The 22,579-nt window shown below is 33.8% G+C and overlaps 1 long non-coding RNA gene across 1 annotated transcript in view; it reads left to right on the forward strand.

Annotated features, from left to right (window-relative positions):
- The window catches only part of LINC00587 (long intergenic non-protein coding RNA 587), a 137,873-nt gene extending 119,313 nt beyond the window's left edge, over positions 1-18,560 (forward strand). Inside the window, exons 4-5 of the long non-coding RNA NR_103830.1 lie at positions 4,182-4,265; positions 18,327-18,560. This is a non-coding gene — a long non-coding RNA (long intergenic non-protein coding RNA 587). The remainder of the gene's footprint in view (positions 1-4,181; positions 4,266-18,326) is intronic.
- Positions 18,561-22,579: the final 4,019 nt, after the last annotated feature.

Raw genomic sequence — 22,579 nt, forward strand, 5'->3', positions numbered from 1 at the left:
ATAATTTTTTTTCAATCAAGACTTTATTAATAAAGTTCCACTGTGTCTACTTGACACGACCCTGTTAACTTTTGAAAGTTTCATTTTTTTCTCATCTGAGAAAATGTTGCAGGGTCATCTAGGTTTTTTTCTGTTCCCAGACCTAGAATCAGCCACTTTCTCAAGGAATCCAGGTTCCTTGAGAACATCCTTTCAGTGATGATTGTGTTACAGAGTGTCTTCTGTAGTTTGGAAGTGTTGTAATTTCTGCCTTGTAAAATCACTGTTTGCTGTGTAGTTCATAGCTATTATATCAATATAAAATGTCCTCTCAAACTTTGAAATTTCTTTTTGTGGGTCTAATTCTACCTTTAGTGATCCAATTATCATGATCTTGTCTTCATTCTGATTTTCATTTGTCTGACATATCTTTGCCCATCTTTCTATGCATATTATTTCTGAGTTTTTTGCTTTAGATATGTCTCTTATATTTAACATACAGTTAAATTTGACTTTGTAATTCATTCAAAATTTTTTTTCCTTTTAAGTCAATTTACATTTCCTGATATAACTTAAAAGTTGGTTTTAAATTTTGTCATATTATTTTCTTATTTTTAATGTATGGATTTGCAAATAAAAAGTAAATCTAAAATAATATATGTAAATAAAAACACATTCTCTATGTCATATATCATATCTTTTCTTTATTGTTTGCTTGTATTTCTAAATATGAGACCATTTATATATTTGTTATCATGGCTACTTTTATCCTAATATTATATGTATGTATCCTAATGTCTATATATAATATTACTTATATCCTAACATATATTTTATCCTAATATCATATAATGTATCTTAACAATATATTCACCTCCCATACACACACACACATACACTCACAAATAAACACAAACATTTAACCGATTTTTGCCATATCTCTTGGTTACCTATTATGATCAACAACATTTTCTTACTACATCTCGCTCCTTTCTCTCTGCTTGTTTTCTCCTCCTGATTCTGTGTAGCAAATAATAGTTTGATGCTATTTTATTGAATATGATTACTCTTATTAATTTGTCAGTTTAAAATGTTGTATTTATTCTCGCATACTACCTAAAGGAACTAATGAACTTATTTTTCATGTTCTCCTCTCTATTCTCTTATTTTTATCCCCTCTAATTCTTAACCACTTATCCATATGACATTTGCACTTATTTAGTTTTAATTGTCTGACTACAGATTATTTTATCTTACTATGTAATAATCATGTTTTATGATAATAGCCACAGGGTTTTTTTTTTTTTCCTTTTTAATCCTTATGATTTACATTTCTTTGGCCTAATTTAAAGAACACCAGTAGAGCTTTGAAAGAAAAAAGGCAGGGGAGAGGGTGGGAGAATTTTAGGTATTGTCTAGTTCCTGATCTCATAGCGATACAGGAGATAGAAATAAATTATTTTGGCAGATAGTGAAAGTAAAAGAGTCCTTGGCAATGCTTCCCTTCTAACTAAAAGCAGCTCGAGCACTTTTTTTTTTTTCTCCTAACAAAGAGCAGCCTGAAAAATGGAAATGCGAACATAGAGAAGCCGGAAGCTTGCATGAGGGAATGCAGCAGCTGCGCCAATAGAAAAGAGCTACCTGGTGGCCAGGCATGTCCAACATGGAGGCTCCATCTTCCCTTTTTTGTTACCACGTGTACAGTAAAGGAATGGGCAACATGGTACCAGCCAGGCAGCGAACCCATCTGCATAATAAAAGTGTAGGCTGGGGGAGGCCAGAAATTCATGCCCTATGCAAATGGCACACCTAGTCCTAACCAGTATCTCACTCCTCATGCAAAGAACACACCTGATCTGACCAATCTTGCACGCCCCATGTAAACCAGACACCGCCTCCTCAAGCTTATCTCTAAAACCCCCTGCATTTCACCCCGAAACCGAAACCGGCAACCCGTTCAGGACCCCTCTCTCTGCAGGAGGGAGTTCTTTCCTTTCTTTTGCCTATTAAACTTCCACTCTTTACCTTACTCTTGTGTGTCCACGTCCTTTTTTTCCATGGTTGTGGAACACTGAACCTCAGGTATCACTCCAGACAACGAGGCCATTTCAATAGGAAAAAGTTTCAATAAATGACTATTAAACGTGATCTATTTTTAAATTTTAGTCATTGCCATTTTTACTTCTAGAATTTTTATTTGATGCTCTTTTTAATAACAGCTTTTAGATATAATTCACATACCACAAATTTATCCTTTTAAACTGTACAATACAGTGTACATATTTTCAAGGTTCATTTTTGTTTCAGTATGTATCAACAATTCCTTCTTTTTTATTGTTGAATAATATTTCACTGTTTGGATATATCACATTATATTTATTTAACAGTTATTGGACATTTGGAACATTTTCACTTTTCAGCATTATGCATAATGCTGTTATAAACATTTGTGTGCAAGTTCTTCTTTGAATATATATTTTCAGTACTCTTGGATATATACCTCAGACTGCAACTGGTGAGTAGTATGCTTACTGTATTTTTAACATTGTGAAGAACTGCAAAACTCTTTTCCAAAATGGCTGTTAACATGTTACTATGCCACTAGTAATGACACATAGTTTAGTATTTCTTTTTTTTTTGGAGTCAGTCTCACTCTGTTGCCCAGGCTGGAGTGCAGTGGTGCTATCTCGGCTCACTGCAACCTCTGCCTCTTGGGTTGAAGCAGTTGTCCTGCCTCAGCCTCCCAAGTATCTGGGACTATAGGCACACACCATCACACACGGCTAATTTTTTGTATTTTAGTAGAGACAGAGTTTCATCACATTTCCCAGGCTGGTCTTGAACCCCTGAGCTCAGGCAATTTGCCTGCCTCAGCCTCCCAAAGTGCTAGGATTATAGGCATGAGCCACTGCTCCAAACCTAATATTTCTATATCCTTTCCTCAACGTGTTATTTTCTATATAGTCATTGATTTTAGCTATCCAATTGGATATGAAATGATACCTCAATATGATTTTAGTTTGCATTTCTCTAATGACTAATGATTTGCATTTCCCATGTGTTTATTGGCCATTTGTTTGTCTACTTTGAAAAATACTTCTATTTAAATGCTTTGCCCTTTTACAATTGGACTATTTGTCTTAAACTTTGAGTTGTAAGTGGTCTTTTATTTCCTGCATACAAGTTCTTTATTGAAGATATTAATTGCAAATATTTTCTCCCATTTCTTAGATTGTCTATTTCTAAGAATAGATCTAATTCTAAAAATTAATAGATTTTATTTCTTAAAGTTAGATTTACAGAAAAATTTTTAAAAAGTACAGAATTCCCTCTCCTGGTTTATAGTTTCTCCTATTGTTCATGTCTTACATTGGTATGGCTCATTTGTGGAAATTAATGATACAAAAGTGATATATCATTATTAAGCAAAGTCCATTGTTTACACTAGAGTTCACTCTGAGTTGTGTAGTTCTGTGGGTTTTGCCAAATGCATTGTGTCATGTTGCATTAAAGTGTTCCTGGGATTTTGGTTTTACTGAGATGTGGTGAGGGCAGCAGATCAGTAGATGATTGCTATTAAAAAGACAGTTTATTACAGTTCCCAAGAGGAAGGTAAGCAAGGTATGGTCACAGGGGAGAACACCAAACTCAGTTGCAGGCAGAGAGGGAAAGCTAGGCAAACTGCTTGAAAGTCTTATGATTTTTGTGGGAAGAAATGGGGGAGGCAGTGTAAACAGGATAATGAGGTTTAAGATTGGATAGTTTAAATAATTTCACCAGTATCTCAGGTATAAGGGATGCCTCTAGGTGTCTGATGCCTAGGGAAGGGATCTGATGTCAAGGAAGGGAACTAGTGTCACAAGTGTAATAGCCCAATAAAGCTAGTGGGTGGGGAGTATGGGCTCTGAATTCGTTAGTTTGCATATGAAGCACAGGCACACAGGAGAATTCCTTACTCTCTCCAGGAATCTGTTAACCCTAAGAGAGCAGTACTGTCCTAGTCAACAAGACCCCAGGTGTCAAAATATCAGACTCAAAAACTAGAAAACATGGTTAATATACATGTATCTACCATGACAGTATCATACAGAATTGAATCCTTTCATTATCCTAAAAATCCTGTGTTTCACCTATTTATCTCTTTTTCTCCCCTCAAGCTCTAGCAATCACTGACCTTGTAATTGTCCGTATTGTTTTGTCAGAGGCTTTTACACCAGAACAACTCCATCTTGAAAAGGAGCTGGGTGAAATGAGGCTGAGACCTACTGTGCTGCATTCCCAGACGGGTAAGGTATTCTAAATCACAGGATGAGACAGGAGGCTGGCACAAGATACAGGTCATAAAGACCTTGCTGATAAAACAGTTTGCAGTAAAGAAGTCAGCCCAAACCAAGATGGCCACAGGAGTGACCATCACTGCTACATTTCCAAGTATGCAGCCTTTTCAGGTTGGCTTTTTCCACAAAGCAATATACATTTAAAGTACCTCATTGTATTTTCATGGCTTGGTAGCTCATTTTTTTATTGCTCAATTATATTCCATTTCATAGGTGTATCAAAGTTTATTGATCCCTTCACCTGTTGAACTGCTATAAACCTTCATGTGCAGGTTGTTGTGTGGACATCAGTTTTCAACTCATTTGGGTAAAACAATGAGAACCAATGGTGCATCACATGATGATGTGCTTAGCTTTGTAAGAAACTGACAACTTAACGTGGCTGTACCATTTTGCATTCCCATCAGTAATGAATTAGAATGTCTGTAGCTTCAATCCTCTTCAGTATTTGGTATTATAGTGTTTTGGATTTTAGATGTTTTAATAGTTGTTTAGGTATCTTGTTTTTAAAATCTGTAATTCCATAAATGACATATGAAGTTGAATGTCTTTCATGTGCTTATTTGCCAACTGTCTACTTTCTTTGGTGATGTGTCTTTTCACATGTTTCACAGATTTTTTAACTGGCTTAAATATATAGTTTGATAGAAGAAATAAAACTTAGTTTAGTGGGGTGACTATAGATTCTAATTATCTATTATATAATTCAAAATTGCTAGAGGAAATAATTTGAGTAGTTCCAGCATAAAGAAAAAACAAATATTTATGGTAATAGATATCCCAAAGTACAAAGGTTTGAGCTTTAAAACTTATATAAATGTATTGTCACATGTAGCCCAAAACTATGTATATCTCTTATGCATCAGTTTTTAAAAAATCACACTTTTGCTGGTCATGTACACAGCCCTGAACATGTGTGCAGTATTCTACATTCTCAGGAGTAAATCAGAGCTTTACAAAGCTTTCTATGGAAATCTTATTCTCCTACTACTTCTTTCAAGTGTTTCAGCTAGCATCTTGTTAGCAACAGCTGTTGTAGCCACCTCAAGCAGGTTTAATGTTAAACAGTTGTCATTGATTGTTTTCTACAAATGCACTGAAGACAGGACTGTTTGCATAAAGGAAACTCTAAGGTCAAATAAAAACAATCTGTGAGAATAAGGCATTTTCAGAGAGCTGCCAACAGGTGAATAGTGATAATTATCTGAGAGATGACCATTTTCATCACGATTTAAATACGTTCTGCTCCTCCAATGACTAGCAGGCTGCTGTTTTCCAAAACCACCATTGTTGTAAAGTTTTTGTTCTTCTGTTTTTTATGGCTACTGCAGAACTGGGGACAGGTGAGTTTAGGGTAAGTTAAACATCACAAAGCTTTCTAATCTTACCAGGATTCAGCCATTTTATTTTTAATACCGCTTTTTTTGGATTGTTGTAAATCTTTAACTTGAAATTCTGGAAAAGTCCGTTTTTACTCTTTTTTTTTCAAAATTCTCTTTTTTTTTTTATGGAGAAGCAGACTTTAACAAGTCCTTATTCTGTCATTCCAGATATTTTTCTTGTTGATTGCTTTTTATAGAATCCAATTTTCTCATAAGATTTTTCATGTTCTTATCTATGTTCTCCTTGATTTCATATTTTGAACATAATTATAAGTTATTTAAAATTTTTTTTACTATTCCAATATATGGATTACCCATTAATTTGTCTTTTTATTTCTTTTCATTCATATGATCTTCTTTTTGCAATATCTAGCATTTTTTGAGTGATATACCATTGCATATCCAAAATTATACGGTATCTAGATAATATTGTCTTCCCCTGGAGGTGATATACTCTTTCTTGTTCTAGAACAATAAAGTGTTGCTGAATCACTTCTATCTAATTAGAGACGAAGTTAGTTTAGGCCTGGGTTCTGTCTACCTTTTAATCACCTGTTTATGAGACATAGCCCTCCACATTCTTTTCTGATTTGGGTTCACTACTATCAACCTGAAATGATTAAAACAAAATCATAATCCAGGTTTAAAGAATTTATTCAAGAGAAGAGCTGGGGATACCCATCAGGAAAAAAACATACCCCACAGAAATGGGATCAGTGCTCTAAAGTTAAAAGTCAAGGTCTTGCTTATATAGGCCGAAAACAAAAATATTTAGTAGGATTATACATTTTCTATACTTGGCTGGTTTATGAAATATAACAATTTAATAAGTTACAGTTTGTCTTATTTTCACTGCAGCTTGCTTTCTTTTTAATTTGAAAGATTGTATTTAACATTTCATCTTAAGATGAGGTGATATTCATGAAATCATTGTGTAAGTTGGGTAAAATGAAAGATAATATATAATGAAGATCAACAGTGAAGGGCGAAGGAGTCTTCCCTGGCACCCTTTAGTCATTTACAACATTTTCCAAAATAATGTAAGTAAGGAAAAAGGCTAATTCATAATTAGAGAGACAAAGGTTACAACTGCCTAGGTTACAGATACTTGTCAGGTGACTCAGGCCCCATAATCATACTTTGTTAAGGCTCAAAATAATTTAACGTTCCAACAGCATAGATTTTGAATTACTTATTTTCACATTACCAACCTTCCCCACTTTCTTGAACCATGGACATTTATTTGTAAGGCAAAACTCAAATTTTCATTCTATACACCATTCTTTTTTGTCTCTATGAAAAAAATAGAAACTATTCCCAGGAGCAATGTAGCTTCACGATTTCAGCATACCTCTTTGATGTTCTCACTTCTTCAAAACCTTTGCCTCTGTGTTCCTCATTTCATGAGCTTTCTAATGCCTTAAAATAGACTTTTGTTTTATATTTTATAAATCCAAAATTGTTATGTTTAGCAGCAGTGTTTTCAGCATTTTATGTGGAAGATCATATGTAGATGCAGCAGTTCTAATTTATTTTTTTTCTAGCCAATCATAATGATTAGATTTTCTAAAGACAATCATAAGTACGAGAATTCAATACAGAGAAGAAGGGGCTGGGGAATCTTTAGATCTGAGAATAGGTTTTATATTCACTTTCCCCAGCTCTCTAATGGATGCCCCCCAACCTTCTCTCTTTCTCATAAATGCTTAGAGTAATGCCCATTATTTCCATTTATTCTTTTATTCTGGAAAAGTGTTTCTGGGTTCTGCTTATATTTGTTATTCTCAGATTTTTCCTGCCACTCGACCAACAAATTTTGTGTAGCCTCTGCTAGTTTGAGGTTGTTTAGTTTATAAGTTTAGTTTATTTAATCTTCTGACGTATTTTAAAGAAAAATATAGGCCTCATGTCATTTCACCCATACAATACCAACAATCATCTTTGGAAGGCAAGGGCAGCATTTATTCCATTAAAATAAAGTGTGACATATTATAAAGTGTTGTTATTGAGGAGGTTTTTGTTTGAACAGTGCACACATACATACTATACATGTGATGGTTAATACTGAGTGTCAACTTGATTGGATTGAGTGATACAAAGTATTAATCCTGAGTGTGTTTGTGTGGGTGTTGCCAAAAGAGATTAACATTGGAGTCAGTGGGCTGGGGAAGGCAGATCCACCCTTAATCTGGTGGGTACAGTCTAATAGCTTCCAGCAAACATAAACCAGGCAGAAAAACGTGAAAAGGAGAGACAGGCCTAGCCTTCCAGCCTATGTCTTTCTCCCATGCTGGATGCTTCCTGCCCTGGAATATCAGACTCCAAGTTCTTAGACTTCTAGACTTGGACTGGCTCTCCTTGCTCCTCAGCTTGCAGGCAGCCTATTATAGGACCTATTGATCATGTAAGTTAATACTTAATAAATTCCCATATATATATATATATATATATATATATATATATATATATATATATTAGTTCTGTCCTTCTAAGAGAAACCTGACTAATACACACGATTTCTACTTTACATTTTTCCCACAAAATATCACATTTTTCACTCATGTCTGCATTAGAAGCTTTATTCCCTTATTTATTGAGTTATGTTATTTCTTCATATTCTATATTGATTGTGAAGCATATGATAGATATTTCATTCTTATAAAGGATTAATTGCAAATTAAGGTATATTTAAGTCTTAATAATATCAAACTTACACTTTACAATTTCACTGCTTTTGTATGTGATCTCATATATCTAATTTTCCTTGGTTTCTCTTTTAGTTTGTTTTTTTTTGTCCTAAACTGACATATTTAATATTTATTATCTTTCTCTGATTCAAAGAATTTGTTTTCAACATGCTAATGAAAAGGTGTGGTTTACATCAGTAAATTGTTCAGTTAGGAAAAATCCATCCTGTGAAAAATGTAATGAGAAAAAGTAGAGTAATCCTATAAAAACTGAAAAACATTATGATACACACATGAACACATACATGCATGCACATGTATCTGAGAAAATTTAATATAGACTGGAACTAGATAACAAGAAGTATATTTATATTTTAGATATAAAAATGACTGGTTATATACAAAATAGTATTCTTATACTGCAGATAACTTACTTACAAAATTCATTTTAATTAAAACCAGGAATTAGAATAATAGTAAAATATTTCATGCTAGAATTTTAGATTATGTTGGTCAGTTTTATTTATTCTCATTTTTGTTTTGTTTCTTATTTTTACATATGCCATTAAATGGAGGAAAGTATGACACAATGCTAGTAGTATCTTCAGGTAATTGTTTCAAAATTGGTTCTAGTGAATTAACGAAAGTATTTAAAATATTGAGAAACCTGTCATTATTTACTAATTCTATTTGGAATAACCTAGACAGCAATAAATCAAGCAAAATGTGCAGAACATCACAAAATGATTAACTCATTCTCTTCAATGAATTATATCACTCTTTTTGTGTACAGATTTTCCAGCATCAAATTAAATTTTAAAATAATTACACTGGTTATGAGATTGGTAAACATGCATTCTAAGGCATAGCTGTGCTATTTTCTGGCAATGTTCTCTTTGATAAATTACTTATTCAATCATTATTTATTTAATTGTAAAATAAACATACAGAACACTTGCTATTTCAACACATAACACTATTTCACTAGATAGGTTATTTTATTTAATTCTCTCAATATTGTAAGAAGCAAGGCATTGATAGCTTAATTTTATACATAATAAGATACCAAGAGTAACTCATTGTATGTGTGTGTGTGCACATGTAAATTATTGATATAATTTTAGACTTATAGAAAAGTTACAAAAATAGTGTATATAAATCATATATCCTTTATCCAGAGCCACCAATTATAAAGTTTCCCATTTATCATTATTCTCTTTTTTCTGTTTTCTCTCTTCTCTCACTTTCTTCCTCACTCTAAGAGTATATGATTTTGTGTATATATTTTAAAATCATTTGAGTGTAAGTTAGGAACATAGTACTCATTTATTCCTTAGTACTTCACTATGTATTTACTAAGATTGAGGTTTTTCTATTATATACCACAATATAGCTATCAAAATCAAGATATTTAATATAAATGCCATGCTATTATCCATATTAGATCCTGTATACAAATTTATTTTATTGTTCCAATATTGTGTTTTAAATTTCTTTTGTTTTTCCAATCCTGGAGCTAATCCAGAATCACTTACTGCATTTACCTGTTATCTTTCTGAGACATCTATTATATAAAACAGTTCCTCAGATCTTCCTTTTCTTTTATTGTAGAACATATTATAATTGAAAACATTAATAATTATATATGACATGGCAAATGTCAGGATAGCAGTTGTTGGTAAAATGGTTTGTTATAATTAAATGAGATGCTACATGTAGGAAACATTCAGTGAAACAATATATCAAAAATAGTCTATTAATTTATTCTAACAGTAGTATGTGTGATATACTAAAAAATTAACTAAAAATTAACTAAAAGCATTGACTATTTGGAAAGATATCCATTTAAATGGTTGAAATTATTTTAGAGAATAATTTCTATTCTTTACATTATCATTGATACATCATATTCAAAGTTGTGTTTAGATGTAATTAAAAGAGTAATCACCTGATTGACTAACCAACTAATATAATTAATTTTTCATCTCTTTACCTTTTGTTTTCTGTTTCTTTGAAGTTATGTTTGTCTTGAAATATAGTTTCTAATCACTTTTTGTAAAGTATCAATTCCACTGTGTCTTAGCTATGTGAGGTTGTTCAAGTTGTAATTTCCATTTTTATTCGTCACTTATTTAAATTGAGTCTAAGTGATAGTTCCTTTCCCCACGAGGAAGCGAATAGTAAATATTCAAATGGCATTCAAAATATTTGTTTAATTATTTATGAATTGCACCATTGGTTGTAAATTAAGATCAGATACTTAAGATGCACATATACATGAGTTAAAATCAAGTTACTAACTGTTTGCCTTATGGCAATTTGAGGCTCTTGAAATCCCCATTTCCTTAGTTGTAAAATAGAAATGATAATAATATCTATCTTATAGAGCTTTGGATATATTTAACTAAAGTAATGCACTTAAAGTGATTAGCCTGGTGTCTCAAAAATGGAAAGCGTTCAGCTGGATATTCCTATAGGCCACATATTTATGTTTTTTTTCTCTGTGAACCTCAGAGGATAGTTCAAAATAATTTTTTTAAACACTTAGAGCTGTGTAATAAGGAAATATATTGCCTGTGAATGCTCTACATTGAAAATAATAAGATTCTGTAAGAGGTACTAAAGAGTCTATTTCTCCAGTCAGGCTAAGCCCTCTAAGCTTTCTATTAAGACTTTTTTAACATTAGATTTTATGATGCTATGACTTTATGTTCAATATCTGAAGATTAGCTAGAGATCAGTTTAAGAGAATTTTCTTATCATAAAGTAGGCCCATTGAAATTTTTAATACTGATTAACATTAAATTTTATAAGACTTTAGAATATTCCTCAGGGACCTTTTTTTGTTTGTTTTTATTGTTATGCTTCACTCTTCTGGAATGTGAGCAGCATATATTAAATGAGGACACAAGAAAAGTATCTTGATAGTTTTAATGATCTGGTCAGATTAATATTTATTATATGTTATAGTAAGCAATATTTAATTATGATAAAATAATAATGATTATAACAGATGAAATGTAGTGAGCACATACTATTTGTTAAGCACTATTGGTAATTTTACATATTTCACTTATCCTTATCACAATTTTATGATAATATGGGGAGTTTTATTATCATAATTTTATTACAGAGAAATATTAATTATATATAGATTATATTATCTCCCAAATCAAATTAGTAATGAATTAGAAAGCATTCAAACCCAGATCAGCTGACACTATATAAACCACTCTTTTCTTCCTATACTAGATTTTCAAAAATTTGCCCTATCAGTGGGTTGTCTAAACAATATTGCATTGTCAAAAACTTTGAACCCATTACCCTTTTACATCACAATGGTAAAATATCTTTGGCAGCCGTCAGCATAAATCAGATAGAATTATATATAAGGAAATTTATTATCTCACAACACTGGAAGTCCAACGATAAGCTTCAAGGTTGAATTAATTCTAAAGAATTTATTTTGGTTTACTTCTCTATGATTTTTCCTCTATCCTCAGGCTAGTAGTCAGAGAAATGTCTCATACTTCTGAACAAGATTCAAAAACGGATTAACAAAAAGTATATAGCATCTCTTCCTGGGGAGCTATTAGCATTAAAATAATCACAAAGACCTCAGGAAACTATTATATTTAATTAAATCCCATGCCCATTTATAAATGAATGTCTATCTAAAGGCAATATCATGCAATCATTGACTTAGTTCTATGACTCAAACAAGAAAGATAAGATGACTATGATCAGCTTAGGCTACCAGAGCACACAGGATGCCGGAACCTACTTACAACACGAAGTGAAAGAGGTGGAAGGAACTTTGTGGGGAGAAGACCTATGTTCACTAGAAATCTTTTTGATATTTACCACACATATCAACATAATAAATGTTCTGAGAGCTCCTAAATTAAAGAAACCCATTTAATTTCAAACATCTAAATATTTTCCAAAATTATATGACTGTGGTTGTTTCATAAGGTAGTTATTAGCATAGCAGAATACAAAAATGTCCATTGCAAAATTTGGAGATATTTTGTTCTATCTTAATAATTATCAAAATAAATTATAGGAAATAAAAATTGTTTCCTAGCACGCACACACATACAGTCATACGACAGCATAAACTGCAAATCTGTGGCTAAAAGGTTTACAAGTTATTTATCATTTGATTTTGACATACAACGGAATTTGTACAGTGACTGAAATACATCTGAGCAATGTTCTGACTAAAGCTGCACGAAATTACAAAGATTTAAGTATGGTCAATGAAGAACTTGGAAACAAAACCTGCAAAAGTAATTTAAAATTATCTGTCATTAAATCTGTTGAAATTCATAATCTCAAGTAATATCCCTTGATTTACTTTCTTTTATATATGTGTTTGCCATTGTAATTCAAGACTTTTACTCAAAAATTGTAGAAAGAAATTCTACTCAGTATGTCTTCCACACATCATCTAAAATCTGTCAAAAAATCTAGGAATAGTAGTGTCTGAACTTGTGATGACTTGAATGTAGAAAATGTGTCAGAGTCACACAGTACTTTTGCGTATGTTATCTGATATGATACTCGCAGTAACCTTATAAAGTAGCTACTATTGTCATCATTTTTGCACTTCAGGAATATTAAGCTGCATTACTTTCATTTTCTAAATTAAAAAGTAATTATAAAAATCAAGCTAATGAAGACCTATAAAATCAGGTCATATAAGTTTTAGATAAAGGACTAATACAATTCTGCGAACAGAAACAAAAGTAATATTTAACACTTGGCCACAGTTTGTCAACAACCTACATAATTAAAATGAAACCTCTTCTGAAACTCAGGACCTTAGCCTACCTGATATCTTTCACCTGGGATGCTAACAATTTTTATAGCATTTATATTTAACAATGGCAGTGATTAAAATAAAAAGATACAATGACAGTGACTATTGATCATATACTGTGTGCTAGGTGCCTTATGCACATTACACATTCTTCTCACAATAACCCTGAAGGGTTGGAATCATTATCTATCCAATGACAACTCAGAATCAAATAATTTAGAAATTTATTTAAATCCTTAGACTCACAGTGAAGATGTAAAACTCATTTCAAATGTTTGAGAAACACTCAAAATAAATCTTTGCTCTAGAATAGTAGTCAATTTATAAATTACCAAATAATCTGACTTCTAAACTTTGATTAATTATCAATAGCAACAATTTAAAAGAGTTAATTTAAAGAAAATACCTCATTTTTCCATGTGGTTTTGTTACAGTGGGTAGCTGCAGACATGAGCTGGGCAGGAGAGGCCTCTTCCTAACAGGAATGTCAGGTGACCATCAGATGATGGTCAGGCGGTTGTTAACTGTCTCTCTAAAATAATAATCGGTCACAGCTGGTGCAAGGGAACGGCGGTCTCCCAACAGATAGAAAACATCTGAAACTGGTGATCAGCAGCTTTCTGATAAGATCTCAGGAGTTGGGCAAACGGGCTCAAGCATACACATTAAGAGGCAAAATAGCAGAAATTAACTGGTATATGACTTCCTAGGGACATTCAACTGGTAAGGGAAGTACTCCTCAAGTGAGCAAGCGTACAATTCCAGTTAAACACAGTGCGCATATTACCTCTGCAAGCACTAGCAGCCACTGGGCATGTGGACAGCCCACACCAAGAGAAGAATCAGGGGAGAAGGAACACAAGACCCAAGAAGTGTGCCTACATATATTAATAAAACCCCAAGTCAAAAGGTCAAACCATGCACTTGATGTCTCAAGTCTCCCACTTGGCCCTCTTACAGGTATACTTTACTTCCTTTCATTCCTGCTCTAAAGCTTTTTAATAAACGTTCACTCCTGCTCTTCTTCTGCCTTATGTCCCTCAGTCAAATTCTTTCTTCTGAGGAGGCAAGAATTGAGGTTGTTGCAGACTTGTAAAGATTTGCCACAGATAACCTAACTTTGGTGCCACGTGGCTCAGGTTCTGCCATTAACAGATTGAACACAGATATGGCAACTAGGGTTTCTCAACTTCAGGACTATTGACATTTTGAAGCAGATAACTTTTTTGTGTGTATGGCTGCACTGAGTGATACCTATTGTAGAAAAAAAGAATGATAATTAAACAGTGTAGGCTAAAAAAAGTGTGAGGGGGAAAAGGAGGGAAAGAAAAATGATTAAAGAACAGAGATTTTATTTGAGGAAAAATAGGATATACTTTGGTAAGGAGCAACGAGACTCAAAAACTGATTGGATCATTTCCATGAATTTAAGTAAATTCAGCTGACCCTCTTTGCCAGTAAAAGTCAAGAGTATGAATGAGGCGCCTTCAAGTTTTGATGTGCATTGGTATTCTAAAGATACTTTACATAAACTCCAATTCCAGAGTCCAAATGTCAGAAATCCTAATTAAGTCTGCCATTCTAATACCACCAGCAGAACTCCAGGTGATTCACTGGTTAGAAATACAAACGCTCTGACAGGAGTCCGTGTGAATACAGCCAGTCCTCATTTAACATCATCAACAGGTTCTTGGAAACTGACTTTTAGCAAAAAGACATAATGAAACGAATTTTGTCATAGGTTAGTTGATATAAACAAGAGCTAGGTTTATATGACATATTTCTGGTCACTAAAACACTGCCAGACTTATATGTAAAGACCAAAACACTTCTAATATTAAACATTGAAATGTGAGCTCCACATACATTTAAGAAAGATTAATAAAAACAAGTACAATTATTATTTACCCAATTATTCTGGTTCTGGGTGACCACTGGCTGGGGCTTATTTGGGCATGCAGGGTGAAAGGTGAGAGCCAGCCCTGGACAGGACGCCATCCCATTGCAGGGTGCACTCACACATACACCCACACGACATACACACTACAGCTGGGACAATTTAGGCATACCAATTAGCCTAATGTGCATATTTTTGGGATGTGGGAGGAAATGGGAGTACCTGGTGACAACCCACGCAGGTGTGGGCAGAATGCACAAATCACATACAGACAGTGGTGCCAGAGGGGGATATATTTTTTTAATTGCTATTATAACAAAACAACATTGAACAAAACAACATTTGAGAATCCATTATGTTTGGGTTTTAGATATCAAGATTATTTCCAGGTGGTGGTATCTTGTAACTAGGAACAACTGTTAAAAGATCGAGGTACAAATACTTAGACTACCAATTATGGGGAAATACACAACTTAGAAATCACTGGGAAAACCTCCTCTTACAGATGACAGAACTAACGTGAAATTTCAGAATGAGTGCTGTAAGTTCTTCTGACACAGAAACCACCTTGAGGGAAGGTAGAAAGATTCTTCATAACTCTCCCACTGTACATAGCCCAGCTCAACAGATGTGGCACCAAAGTTCACCTGAAAGTGTATAGCTATTCTCCCTAAACAGTATTGCTGTTTTCAAACAGGCAGTATATAAATACAAAAACATAATGGTCTACGTGCAATTACAGTTCCAACATCTCATTGTATAAGGAATTAGGAAAGGAGGTATCATTGGAGAACGGGACTAGAAAATTTGACTTGAATTTACTTTCTTAATAGGAAGAGGATATTGTTTTTATTTCCATTATTTTATTGGAATGGTTTGAGAGAAATGATGGAGATTATTGGGAAGGTAAAGATCATCTCTAAAATACCATCTGTATTACTCCGTTTTCACATTGCTAATAAAGACATACCCGAGACTGAGTAATTCGCAAAGAAAAACAGGTTTAATGGACTCACGGTTTCACGTGGCTCAGGAGGCTGCACAATCGTGGCAGAAGGCTAGGAGGAGCAAGTCACATCCTATATGGCGGCAGGGAAGGGAGAATGAGAGCCAAACGAAAGGGGTTTCCCCTTATAAAACCATCAGATCTCATGAGACTTATTCACTACCACGAGAACAGTGTGGGGGAAACCGCCCCCATGATTCAATTATCTCTCACCAGGTCCCTCCTACAACACATGGTAATTATGGGAGCTACAATTCAAGATGAGATTTGGGTGGGAACAGAGCTAAAACATATCACCATCTATCAGTCTGAGTCCTCCAAAAAGCAGACACCAGGATAGAAATGGATATAAAAGAGATTTATTGGTAAAACATTCGTGAATGACAAATGGGAGGAAGCAAGAGGAAGCAAGAAGAACTTTAGCCTTTGACGCATGTCCGAGCTCTGTGATGAGAAAAGAGGAGCAAAGGAAGATTGGGCAGGAAGAGTCTCAGAATGTTCCATCTAAGCCGTATTTTCTTTCACTGGGAAGAAATGCTTTGATATTCTAGTAACTTTTAAACATTGATTAGTGAAATTGTTTTCAATTTTCCTTGACATTAATGTGTACTTTTAATATTCCTTAAATAAACAGCTAATTGTGTAAAACAATTTATATTTTTAAAAATACTATTTTGTTCTCAAAATTTATAGCTCTGCAGGTATTTTACATATTGAACTTCCTCCTTATTCTCCCTACAGTTTTATTTAGAATCTATTTGTTTAATATACCACAGCAAAATGCATTTGTCATGTGTGGCTTGTGTAAAATAGGCATTTCATTCTATTTTCAATGTGGCTGCTTTCTAGAACAACGACAAAAAACGTAAATGGATACATGTATGTTGATGTGTTGCATTGTATATTATATATAAATATATGTAATATAAAATATATGACTATATATATGACATAACAAATATATTGTTTTATATATAACAATATATAACATATATACTATATAACATAATATATAATATTATATATAATATAGAAAAATATGTAGTACATATAAATATATATTATATATAAACACATTTTTTTAATATACATATATTTGGTTGGTTGGTAAAATTTTGGGGGGGAATATGGTTTTATGCTATTTTATTTTATTTTTATTTATTTATTTTGAGACGGAGTTTCGCTTGTTGCCCAAGCTGTAGTGCAATGGCCAGTCTTGGCTGACTGTAACCCCCGCCTCCGGGGTTCAAGCGATTCTCCTGCCGCAGCCTCCCGAGTAGCTGGGATTACAGGACTGCGCCACCATGCCCAGCTAATTTTTTGTATGTTTAGTAGAAACAGGGTTTCACCATATTAGCCAGGTTGGTCTTGAACTCCTGACCTCAGATGATCTGCCTGCCTTGGCCTACCAAAGTGCTGGGATTACAGGCATGAACTGCCATGCCCAGCCTATGCTATTTTAATAAACTAATCATGGTTTTGTGTGAACTAAGTATGAAACCATAAGCATGTATTTTACACTGCCTTGCAATAGATTGCATTTTGAAGATTTCTGCTATTTTCAGAATAAATAATGAAAATAGCTGCATATTAGAGTTGAAATTAAACCTTGTAGAGCAGTTTTCCATGTATCATATTTTTGAAGTGTTCATTTACAAACATATTTTTCTGATAATAATATAGACCCCAAATTAATATTTTATTGTTTGCTAATTTATCTAAAGCAAAGTCAATAAACACTGGCTTTTTAAAAATGCAGCATACAAGCCATTTTACTACTATTAGAGAATTCCCCCTTGTATATAAATCTTGAAAATTTCAATGAAGACAACTATGTCTGTTTTCAGTATGGCAGCTAAAAGAAACTAGGGTTTCTAGATTTGCTACCTCCTATTCAGAGCTCAAGAATGTGAACTTGACATGGCCAATCAAATGCTCTTACCTGGATTTTTGGATATGGAATGAGTGATGGGGTGGTTAGAATTTATTCATGGTAGTAAGAACAGTGATGTTCAGAGTTATTGACAAGGTCCTACAGCTTGTGTACTGTGAATACTAGACTCTCATTAATAAAACGTAATTGTACTTTATTTTTATTTTCACTCTATTGATTTACTAAGATTAATATCCTATTACTAATTAAGTGTTCAGTATTCTTTTAAATAAATCTCTCATTTTTTGCTTAATGCTTTCAGTTTTTCTTTCTGTTGCAGATCACCAAGGATTCAGACCGATACCAATGATGCAATAAAGACATCATTTTTCCTCCAGGAAAAAAAGAGAAATATGGGTTTAGTCACCAAGGAAGAAGGCAGTAAATAGCTTTGAACACTCACATTTACACTCTAATATATCTGTGTAAAGGATATGAAGGATATAAATAATTTAGAAATTGTGGGGGAAGTAGGTATCTCTAATATTGAATAAAAAGAAAATAAATGACCAGATCAAATACCTATGTTGACTTCTATTAACACACTGTAAAGATTTCCTCACATGTTTTAACTATAGGGCTGAGATAGTTAAGAACAAACCTTTAACTTTGAGAGAGGTATTGCCAAATTGTAATTTCGGAAGAATTAAAATCCTTACCTGCTGCCATAAACAAAAGTCAGATAAAGCTAGGTAAGGAAAATTGTGAAGAAACTTAACTGTTGGAATTTGAACAACTGGAGTTTTCTCATGCCCTATCCAATACTGAGCCTTCCTTGTTCACTGAAGTCCCTTCACTTTTGTATATTGAGACTCTTCCTTCCCTGCTTAAAAATGTTGCTATTTTCTTGCCCCAGGGAATTTTGTTGCAAAAACAATACTGTTTCACTTATACTTCTTTCACTGTTTTCACAATTATAAATAGTCTGGTCCAAGTATATCCTAAAGAGCACAAAGAAAATAAACAAATGAACAAACAGAAAAAAAACTAAGTCTTCCTCATTTAAAAAATAATATCAATTATCCAGTTGCATGTAAGATATGAAAATTCTCTATCAATGTTAGAGGACAATTATTATAGTTGCACCAGTTATAGATTTCAATTTATATTGAACTATTTAGTAGATTGTTTAGTTCTTATAGTATATATGTAAACAAAAGGTTTCCTCAAAGGTGACCCACATTGAAAAATGTGAAGTCTTCAGATTTCCTTTCCACAGTATAGAAAGAGAAGTTTAAATATTTTGGAAGTTAAAACTAAATGAATTCAGCTAGTGTGTTAAGCTGATGCAATACCTTCTTAAAATGCACAAGGTCACAAGAAATAACTCCAGGCTGGAGTGGACAACCAGAATCTTTGAAAATTACTTTAATCACAATGTGAAATGCTACAGCTGAAATGAGTGAGTGCTCTAATTTCAATTGAATAGTAATAGACATTGGGTGATTTTTTGTTGTAGAGTGATACTTTGTTACAAAGGCCATGTGACTAAAGTGACCACCTGGACATAGGAATAGTCTAAAAATCATGACGTGATCTAGAAATATCTTGGATGATGAAGAATTACCGTATACTTTTGTACTAGATTCAATCCTGCACCTTGTCCCCAGATCTTCATATTTGGCTTTATTATAGTTTGTACTCTTTCTATAATCATGAGACCATGTTGTCTCTGCATCTGCTGTATTCAGACTGAAGCACCTACGATAATGGATCCTCGTCTCTCATATGACTTGCTGGTATACCCTAGAGATCCTCTCTATCCAACTGACAGTTCTGGGCACCTCAATTCTTATCTAGGCCTTTCCTTTTTATATGGCTAGATAGGACACCACAGCTCTCTGCCTAAAAGTCATCCAGGCACAACCAAAAATGAGGGGGAGTTAAAGCTCCATAGGAGTTTATTTGATCAATGAGAGACTAAAATCAGTGAAAAAAATTATTCCCCTCTTCTCCCACAGTGGGCTATTCTCTGATTTAGTTTGTATGAGTTCTTGAAAGATATACTATGACTTTAAATAGTCAGTTGAACATTTCAGCTGTCAACTGTAATGTAAACCTTGCATCATCTCTCCTGATTTTCCCATTATATTCTCTTTGTCCTTTTTCCCTACTACTTAGAATAATACTCCTAATAAAGTAATAATATACAAACCTTCTGTGTCAGACTTGGCTTTCTATGGCGAGGTTTAGACAGATGCATCTATAATTAGGATGAGATTCTGGTATTAAACCATTGTTCTGATGGCATAAGGACCCCATTGTTGGTGGGAAGTTGTAGATAGTAACATAGGTCATACAGTGGTATCCAATTATTAAAGTTGTCTTCTTTGGTTAATTGAAATGCACTATAGATGGAACGTTATGCTAAGTGAAATAAGCCAGGTGCAGAAAGACAAACATCATATGTTCTCGTTTTATGTAGGATCTAAAAATCAAAACAATTAAACTCATGTATGTAGACAGTAGAAGGATGGTTATCAGAGGCTAGGAAGGGTAGTGGGGGATAAGGGGGAGGTGGGGATGATAAATGGGTAAAAAAATTAGAAAGAATAGATAAGACCTACTATCTGATAGCATAACAGGGTGACTGTAGTCAATAATAACTTAATTGTACATTTTTAAATAACTTAAAGAGTATAATTGGTTTGTTTGTAACTCAAATGATAAACGTTTGAAGGGAAAAATACCCCCATTCTCCATGGTGTGCTTATTTCACTTTGCACGCCTGTACGAAAATATCTCATGTACCTCATAAATATGTACACCTACTATGTACCCACAAAAGTTAAAAGTTAAAAAAAGAGAAATACAGTGGTGATAATGTTACATGGTACTGAGGAAATAATACTTGCCAGGTTAGGATAGTCTTAATTCTTTTAAGCCTGTTAAGAACCTTGAAAAATATAATATAGTCAGGAAAGCCAACTACCAATGCAAAACACGGAGAAACCTGGCCGGAAATTTAGGACCAGTTTCTAATTTTGATATTATGTCTAAAACAACACTCAATGATGAATAATTGTCGAGACCTGAGCAACAGAATGGTGACATTTGAATGGGTAAACCTGAGAACGTTTATCCTCCAGATTTCACTATTAAATCTCCAGAATGAAAGAAGCAATGACTTTCCACTTTCCGGAGAAGACCAGCCACTCTTTTCTGGAGACCATGCTGTGAGCTCACCTGAGGTAGGCCCCTCACCATGTAAAGCTGATTTTCCTTAAGATCTGCTCTCACTACCCTCATACTTCTAGGCTGCTTATGAAGGACAGCTCTATGCACAGCCTAATTAAGTACCAAATAAATTGTAGGAACCAGTGGAACAAGTATGAAAGTGGATCTTGAGAGTTTTGCTGGTGAGGACAAAAGACCGAATATGGAAAACTCAACTCTTTTTGAAAAGAGAGTCTAATCTAATAGGTTGTCGTAATGGGTCCTTAGAACTTCCATATGCCTTTAGTAAATTAAATGGAATTTGAGAATACACCACCTGATTATGTTTTGCAGATGGCTCAGAGAAAATTGGTTTAATTAAGGTAATAACTAATGTACTGGTGAAGATGATATAAACCTTTGAAAAGATCAATAGTGGCTTTCCTCCATAGGCCAATATTGATGGTAGAAGAAGCTGCCCTAGAACTGGGCTTGTTAGGTAGGAGTCAGCCAATGACTTTTGACTTCCTACATATCTTGCTGAAAATGCTAACATAACAAAACCTTACTTCAGGCCACTTCTGAGGATTATAATGTACAAACCTAAAGTATTGTAGTGGCCAGGCATGGTTGCTCACACCTATAATCTGAGCACTTTGGGAGGCCAAGGCGGATGGATCACCTGCAGTTAGGAGTTCAAGACCAGCCTGGCCAAGATGGTGAAACCCCATCACTACTAAAAATATAAAAATTAGCTGGGCGTGGTGGCATGCACCTGTAATCCCAGCTATTTGGGAGGCTGAGACAGGAGAATCACTTGAACCTGGGAGGTGGAGGTTGCAGTGAGCCAAAATCACACCATTGCACTCAGCCTGGGGGTTAGGAGTGAAACTCCATCTCAAAAAAAAAAAAAAAAAAAAAGAAATTTCCTGATTTTTTTTTTTCCAAAAGGGAAAGAGGTTATTTTCTATATAACCTTCTTTTGAAAAGAGGTTTACATGAATGAAAATGGGAAGAATAAAGAACATCAAAAGAATACAAATGACACATATTTTATATAATTTTTGAAAAGTATATAAATTATATATTTTTATATTTTCTATAACCAATGAAAGAGGAATATCCAGACATTTTGAGGACTGTTGGATATGATCTCTGCACTGACACCTGAGTCAAATGATGTAAAGACTCATGTTGTTCACATTAGAATAAGGCATATAGATGACAGGAATGAAAGGAGGCAGTAAAATAATGTTGGCCAAAATTCACCTCATAATTGTTTGAGCAAGTACACAGCCTCACACTATTTTGTTTTGCTCAGTCTCCAAGTATGTAATTGGATACATTTATTTAGCAGTTGAAATTATATGTTTCAAT

This window comes from Homo sapiens, chromosome 9, assembly GCF_000001405.40.
Source record: "Homo sapiens chromosome 9, GRCh38.p14 Primary Assembly".
Taxonomy (NCBI): Eukaryota; Metazoa; Chordata; class Mammalia; order Primates; family Hominidae; genus Homo; species Homo sapiens.